Source organism: Homo sapiens, chromosome 17, assembly GCF_000001405.40.
Source record: "Homo sapiens chromosome 17, GRCh38.p14 Primary Assembly".
Lineage (NCBI taxonomy): Eukaryota > Metazoa > Chordata > Mammalia > Primates > Hominidae > Homo > Homo sapiens.
In genome coordinates this window covers 71,839,513-71,848,076 of record NC_000017.11, presented here as the reverse complement: position 1 = coordinate 71,848,076, position 8,564 = coordinate 71,839,513, and the positions used below count along the sequence as shown (strand labels likewise).

Here is an 8,564-nt window from a genome sequence, read left to right as displayed (position 1 = left end):
ACAGGAATCCTCAACTCTCTTTAATGTTGGGCTTAACATTTAAGTCCTCTGAAGCAGGTCCTCTAAATCAAGATAAGGTGTGCCCCAACTTGTGCTTATAGAGGTGGTGTGAGAGAGTGGAGGGAGCTGGGGGTGTTTCCCTTCTGGACCTTAATCTCCTTCTCTCTCTGCAGCTTTCCAGCTGTGTGACTTTGGGCAAATGACTTAACTTCTCTGAGACTTGATTTCCTTAGTTATGTAGCCTGGGTATAATACCATAGAGTGGTTTTGTTGGGAATATGCAATGGGTCATTGACCACACAGGGAATGGATAACACATGCTATCTATCTATCTATCTATCTATCTATCTATCTATCTATCCATCCATCCATCAATCTATCCATCCATCCATCCACATGCTGTCTTTGGCAGCCTTTTATCAGAATAAGTGTTTAAAGAAGGTTGTGGAAAAACTGGGAGAGATAGATGTACTACTGAGGAGGTTGGTCAACTCATCACAGAGCTTTTCCATTTTTACAAATTACTTCAAGCATAAAGGATTACATAGTATATTAATATATAACTTGAGATGAGAGAACATTTTGAGAGTCTATAGAGTTTTTTTCAATGACTCCATAAAGAAGATGGGCACAGGATATGTGGATATTAACATGGGAGGAAAAGAAATCTATGTTTTCTTTTCTTCTCTCAACTCCTTCTGCTAACTGGATCTTGACTAGAGAAAGGGATTTCTCAACTATTCAATGACCTATCTAATGAAAAAATCTTCCTGTACTATCCATGGCAAGTTAGGACCTAGCTTTCCATTGACACCCAATGGGAGGTTTAAACATCTATCTCATGTGGGTGCCATTCTGTTTATGGCCTGCCAGAAGTATCAGAAAAATTTCCGTATGCTGAACTCAAGTTTCTCTGATAGTGTATACTTTTTAGTTATCTCAATTCTGTACTCTATAGCCACACAGAACTACCTACCTCCTTAAAGAAAATCTAACATCTCATAACTAACGGCAAAAGTGGCTCTTAGGCAAGAAGACATATTTATGTTTCTTTAGAAAATAAAAAATGGTACTTATCCAGATTTCTTTACCAGACACCTTAGTAAATTGTGCCTTCCAGGGGCAGATGGCTGAATCTTTTGGTGGGTGCCAGATTATGTTGGTGCCACATTGAAAACCACATGCTTCACTGAAGGGGGTGATCTAATGAGTTTATTTCCCTGCCTAGGTTCCAGCGACAGGGCTATTGAGTGACTTCACTGCAATCAGTATTGCTGACTAATGCCTGTATCAACACCTACCGCCGCCACCACCGGCGCTTCAGTGATTTTATGTTCAGTTTGATTTCTCCAGACAGAACTTTTCCACATCATTGGAACTAATTGAGGTAATGGAGAAATTATTCTGGTGCCAGAACACTCTTACTTTCTTTCACCCACTTCTCCCTTTGGTATTGAAAGACAACAATACGCACAGTCTCTCCGTGTTTCTTTACAGTCAAAAGGGGAGAACTTGATTATGTCGCTATGGCACCCAGGCTGCTTCTGGACAATTAAGGCTAGAAAACAGACTCTCACCTCCGTCTTTCTTTGCTTCCCAGGGCTGCACGTTCTGGCATGTCCCTGTGCCATGCTCATGAGCTGCTTCTCAGTGGGGATTTCAGAATCCCCTCTGTTGTTCTCCGACTGACCGCAAGAAATCTAACATTCGCTAAAACAACTAGCAGATGGAAACAAACATTTTATGAGTACATATTCCACCTTAATTATATGCATTGTCTGCCAATGTTTATAGCATCTCAGAGGGAGTTTGGAGGTAAGACTGAGCTGGCCAAGTATGGTTTTGATTACAGGGATTTGTATCAAAAGTGGAACAGTGCCTTTTACTGATTCCCCACTCTCTTTCTGCCCCACACTTTATGTCCCTTACTCCAGAAGGTTGAATGAACCATTCCCTAGAGAGGGTGGCATAGTGGAAGGGCTCTGGTTATGCCCCATGTCAACAGTTAGTGGTTCAGTTAGTATTGGGGCTTAATTATGGTAGACCACAGTGAGCCTCTCCACGGAAAGACCCTGTCTGGTTTGGATTTAGGAGACTACTCTGCAGTGTGAGAAGGTAGGATGGCCTTTCGATAGTCAGCAGAGTCTTCTGCGTGGCATAGAAATGCTGGTTCATCCTCGGGGATGGGAGGACAATTAAAGATTAATGGGAAATGTGCATGTTTATTGGAAGTTGGAGGAAAATATTTACTAAAATCTAAATAGTGATGACTTTAATAATAAAACTCAGCTTGGATGTTATACTGGTATCCCTTTCTCTGCATTTTCCTTATCTTTCCAGTTGTTCTCCTTGCATCTTTTCCCCTTATTGATTTGTTCATTTGAGATGGATAGCAGAAATGATGCAATTTGAGCAACAGATTGCAAATCCATCTGAGTTACTACTGGTTAGCCGCTTTGGTTCATGTTGGGAAGTAGTGGCTATTAGAGCACAGAGCTCATATGGGTGTTTTGCATTACCCATGGATTTTATTTCTCCACATCACCTCTGACCCCTTTTGCAAACTTAATTGAGAGTTGGCCTTTTTCAAATTGACTGCAGGAAATTGACCTTTGTGTTCACGCTATGTTAGGAAAGACCTGGATGAAGAGCAAATCAGGAGGCAAAATGGGAATGATCTGGCCCCTACAGTCATGCTATGGCACTATGTGAAATAATCACAGCATTCTTGGTGCAATTACATAGGTGATGTTGCCTTTAGAATTGTTTCCCTATAGAATCAAACCATAAATCAGAAAATCCCATTTTAATTTGTAACACAGTCTGGTGGTTCAAAAATTTAACAATCTGAAGGTACCTTTTAAATTAATGTCTAATCTGCTTATCCTGCTTTAGCTGAAGCCTGATTCTTTGTTCTTAATTATTGGTGGAGATAGCACCCTGGGGCTACTTATATGGAAATCCAATCCTTATCTGGCAGGCAAGCATATTTGTTACTTTGGGAAGATGGAAGGGCAATTAGAAAAAGTACACTCACTTTGACCTCAGCAATCCTGGGTTCAAAACTAGACCCTGCCACTTATTCCCTGAGTTACTTTAGGAACGATATGTAAAATCTTGAATCTTAATGCTTCATCTGAAAAATGAGAAGATTTGCAAGAAATGAGATTGTGTGTTTTCAATGAGTATTTTTAAGAGCTTAGTACATAGATTCTCAATACCTTCAGTTGCTTATTATACATTATGTGCCTTGTATGTGCACTAGGGATCCAATGGCAAAGAGAATAGACAAGGGTCTTGCCCTCATGAAGGTTACACTCTTTAGGGGGCTTATAGTGTTTTTACTCTTTCTGGGGACAATGAAGAACCTCGGTTAAACCAGCAATGTTTGAAATGCAATAGGAAATGAATTGTTATTTCTAACCAGAAAGCTAGGCTGTGAAATGGCTTCTTAAGACTCACAGCTGGACTAAATAATTCTGGGTCAGAATCTAGATTTCATGATCTGGTGATGAGGGCAGATGGAACTTGCAGGCAGGGTGTCTGATTCACTACTCTATACCAGACACGTAGCCTACTTCTATCTTAGTCTTTATTTTCATTTTGTTTTGTTGTTTTACCTGTAAAATTTGTACAATAATACTTTTTTAAAAAAACCCATAGGTTTATGAATATAAAATGAGATATATGTGAAGGCCACATACAATAAAATATATTCTTAGGTTCATTTTAATTTTATTAGTGAACTATGGCATGGGCACCCTACGCTCCAGGAACTTAATTATATTGACAAACTACTCAAAAACAAAACAACACTAGACAGCCCTGAAGGAGCCTGCAGATTTAAATATAACACAAATTAGATCTTGAGGGGAGGTAAAATGAAAACCAGGCATAACTTTTTAAATAAAAGCACTTGCAGGGCCAGGTGTGGTGGCTCATACCTGTAATCCCAGTACTTTGGGAGGCCGAGGCAGGCAGATCGCCTGAGGTCAGGAGTTTGAGACCAGCCTGGCCAACATGATGAAACGCTGTCTCTCCTAAAAATAAAAAAATTAGCCAGGCATAGTGGCAGGTGCCTGTAATCCCAGCTACTCGGGAGGCTGAGGGAGGAGAATCACTTGAACCTGGGAGGCAGAGGTTGCAGTGAGTCAAGATCATGCCATTGCACTCCAACCTGGGTGACAAAAGTGAGACTTCATCTCAAAATAAATAAATAAATAAGTAAATAATAAATAATTTTAAATAAGACACTTGCAGGAGGGGAGAGAGGGAAAAAGAATTTGCCTGTGGTTTGTAAAGCCTATGGCCTATTACTAACTGCATAATGGAAACAGAAGAAACTCTAGAGACACAGGAGTGAACTTAGACATGGGTTCAAATCTTGGCTCTTCCACTGTCTATTGTATCGAGTTAGCTACTGGCATATAAAAAACTACCCCAACCCAAGTGGCTTAAAACAATATCTGTGGGTCAGTTGATAGTCCTGATTTGGGCCAGTTCAACTGATCTTGGCTGGGTTTGCTCAGGGGTCTATTCTCAACCAGGGTCAGGCTGGTGATCTAGGTTGGCCTCACTCCCATGGCTGATATCTAATGATTGGCTGGCTATGGCCTGAGTGATGGATGTGGCTGGGCCACTTTGTCTCATCATCCTGACTTTGTTGACTTGTTAGCAGAAGAGCTGCAAAGAGAGAGTAGAGGTGTGCAGAGGATCTCAAATCTCAAGCTCTGAGCTGTTATTTTCTTTGGCCACATTCTTTTGGCCAAAGAAAGTCATGAGACTAGCTCAGATTTGAGGGATGGGGAAATAGGCTCAACTTCCTGGTGGATTTTTAAAAGTTAAACGTCGGCACATTAAAACATTAAAGAATTTATTTGAACAGACAGTGATTCATGAATTGGGCAGCTCTAGACATCAAGCAGGTCAGGGCTGTGCCAAAGCGGCACCTGGGGAAGACTTTTAGAGGGTGAATGCAGAAGCAAGGCAAAGAAAATATTTGATTGGTTAAAGTGAAGCAGTAGTCTTATTTGGATCATTCTAGTGGAAAGTCCCTAGTTAAAGGTTATTTAACAGTTGTGCTTGGTTAAACTTAATTTCATTTTATCATTTATGCTAAGTTGAGTGTCACTTTGCTAACATGGGAACCCAGGATACTGGAGTCTCTTGATAAATTATTTCAGCAGGAGCTGCAAAGTCACATTGTAAAGGGTGTAGAAATAGGGAGGAACGGAGAATTAGGTTGCTTTTTAATCTACTACATTTGTCTATGTGCTTAGATAAATTCTTTAATTTCTTTGAGGGTAAAAAGTATCTCATAGGACTGTTATGAGTATTAGTGACAAATGTAAAACCCTGAATATAGTTTAAAACTTACAGGTAAATACTAAAAATGGTAGCCATTATTATATTTCCCTTTATTTTTAGTTATACAAAACTTACATTTTCCATAACACACATCATTACAGATTTTTTTTTTTTTAATTTTTTTTGAGATGGAGTCTCACTCTGTCACCCAGGCTGGAGTGCAATGGCACAATCTTGGCTCACTGCAACCTCCACCTCCTGGGTTCAAGTGATTCTCCTGCCTCAGCCTCCCAAATAGCTGGAATTACAGGCACATGCCACCACGCTCAGCTAAATTTTATATTTTTAGTAGAGACTGGGTTTCACCATGTTGCCCAGGCTGGTCTTAAACTCTTTACCTCTGGTGATCCACACGCCTCAGCCTCCCGAAGTGCTGGGATTATAGGTGTGAGCCACCACACCCGGCCTACAGAATTATTAAAAATACACATAAGTAGGCAAAAAAAAAAAAGGAAAGAAAAAACAAAAATTATTGAAATCTCACTCTCCCTATCTAAGCACTGTAAACATGTGAGTAACTTAGATTTTTCTCATTATTAGCTATCATCATTCTTACTAGCTTGAATATATTGGTCTTGCTTCAGGTTGTACTGATAAGTTAGGCTAGTAGAACACTAGTAAGTTAGCGTTCCCTATTACATATAGGTGACTGTAAAGTCTAAAACTGTATTCTTTATCTACCCACCTACTCCTGTCCTAGGCCTTTTCTCACTCACCCATCTATTACAAGTTTCTTTTATTTATTCATTATTTTATTGATTTGCCTATTTGTTAATAGACACAGCTTTACCTAGAACTTAGGTATATCTGACTCCCATATTCAAATCACTTTTCCCTCTTATCCTTCCTATGGGGTGGTGCCAGAGTAAGCAATTCTGTTGCTCAAATCTTTTAGGCACTTCGAGAGAAATGTAGATTCCCCCATGAGAAGAGTGAGCCCCCTTATTATCTTTTCTTCCTGTTTCTTTCTAGTCTCACTTGCCTCCATTCTTGGACTCTATGCTTTATGCTGTTTTCATCCCAAACAGCACAGGCCTTGTCTAACACACCATGATCCGTGCACATTCTGTATCTGTGCCTGGCAGCTGCTTCCCAGCCATATCTTCAAAGCCAGTACTCTTCTCCTGCATTACAGTTTAGCTGGATTATTACCTTATCTGTTATGTATCACCCTCCATGGAGAGAGCCACACACCCTTCTCTGGCATGCATGCAAATCTATTCTAGCCCTACTTACTAGGTATTTTGGGTTATATGAATATTTCTGTTACTAGACCCTGTGTTTAGGGGACAGAGTCAAAGTTATTCAGTCACTAAACAAGCATATGCCAAGTCTTACCTGTATAGGGGCAGGACATTTGAAATTAAAAAGAAAACGAATGAGTGATTTAATCATCTACAAACTCTCCTCTTCAGCACCCCAGAGCCACTCATCAGCAGAACAGATGGTGAGGGTTAAAATGACTGAGGCCACAGGACAGAAGGAAGCTGGTTGTCCCATGTGGACGTAATGATGCCTTCTCCTCATGATACTTTCCTACGTCGTGGAGAGAATGTGCATTGAGAGGCTCAGCCTTGGTCTCAGCAAGGCTCACCAAATCAATAATCAGACCTGAGCATGGAAAATACTCAGAGAAGCCACCTCATTTATGGTGTTGTAGTCAGTTCATGTCATATCGAATTCATTCTGTCTTGAAACAGGAGTAATTACCCTAGATGCAAATTGTGAGTGAATACAGGGGGAAATATTTGTAAATAAATACAAATTAGAATATTTACTTCTTTTAAAATAAGATTAAAAATAATGTTCAGTGCTGGCAAGGATGCCATGAAATCAGTTATTTCAGAGTGTAAATTTGTGCACTTTGACAGTAGGTACTAGTATTCTTAAATGTTCTGTAACTCTGCCATCCATATCTAGGAGCCTGTAATAAAGAATCCATAAAAGAGGCAGACAGCGGTGTATGTGCAAATTGCTCACTTATGTGAGATTGTACAATGGATTTTTGTCAGCTGGAAAAATAATGATAACCATGGTATTTTAATCAAAAAATAGCATACAAAATACATATGCATGTATATTTATATATATGCATGTGTGTATATACAGAGAGAAGAGAGAAAGAAATAGATGGGAAGAAGACAAATAAACCAATTTCTTAGCAGTGCTTATACAACTTTAATAATTGTATTTATTTTTTGTATTTTCTAAATATCTTACATAGAGAATACGTACATTGTAATGTTAAAAAATAGTTAGCAATTGGTTTAAAAGATAATTGAAGAAAATATCACTATTGTATGCAATTGAATACATTCTGCTTTTCACCCTGAAATGTAGGAACTATAGGACTATGGCTAAATATATACACAATAAGTTGCTAAATGGACCTTTGGATGTTTTGTAGTTAGGAAAAACAATATTGCTACTGCCGCTTTCCATGTAAAAAACTCCAGAGAAGTGTTAAAACACACACACACACACACACACACACACACACAACTATTAGAAACAAACAATAATATAGTTTTCTTTTAGAAACAAAACCTGTGTTTAGAATCCAAAAGCAATGTAATCACTCTGGAAACTATTATCATAAGTAATTTCATATCGATTAGTTCATGCTCCCATGTCTCCTGGACATGGTAGAGTCTAGGAGAAACAAAGGTTTGGACAGGAGTGAAAATAATCTTAGATTCTCAGCCTCATCCGGGTCTCTGGGTAAGTCACAATTGAATAGTAACAGAAAATCCTGGATAGTCTCAAACCTCTCTTATATGTAGAATTTTTTCATGACCTGTGGGTCTGCCTACACTTGTTTGACTTCCCAGTTGTTCCTCCTCTTTTGGAATCCACTGTATTTGGAGGAGTTGCCTTCTGGTCAGAATCAATTTTTACTCTGGTTCTCATTTGTTTTGTTTTGTTTTGTTTTGTTTTGTTTTGTTTTTTGTTTTTTTTGAGACAGAGTCTCCCTTTGTCACCCAGGCTGGAGTGCAGTGGCATGATCTCGGCTCACCGCAACCTCTGCCTCCTGGGTTCCAGCCATTCTCCTGCCTCAGCCTCCTGAGTAGCTGGGATTACAGGTGTGTGCCATCATGCCTGGCTAACTTTTGTATTTTTACTAGAGACAGGGTTTCACAATGTTGGCCAGGCTGGTCTTGAACTCCTGGCCTCAAGTGATCCACCTGCCTCGGCCT

The 8,564-nt window shown here is 39.5% G+C and overlaps 1 annotated feature.

Moving 5' to 3' along the window:
* Positions 1,354-2,553: an enhancer, noted in NCBI's record as "BRD4-independent group 4 enhancer chr17:69841665-69842864 (GRCh37/hg19 assembly coordinates)". NCBI's record gives its function as "activates an origin of replication core promoter dependent on BRD2, P300/CBP, MED14 and CDK7 cofactors, and independent of BRD4, by STARR-seq in HCT116 cells {active_cell/tissue: HCT116}" and the evidence as "EXISTENCE:reporter gene assay evidence [ECO:0000049][PMID:35650434]".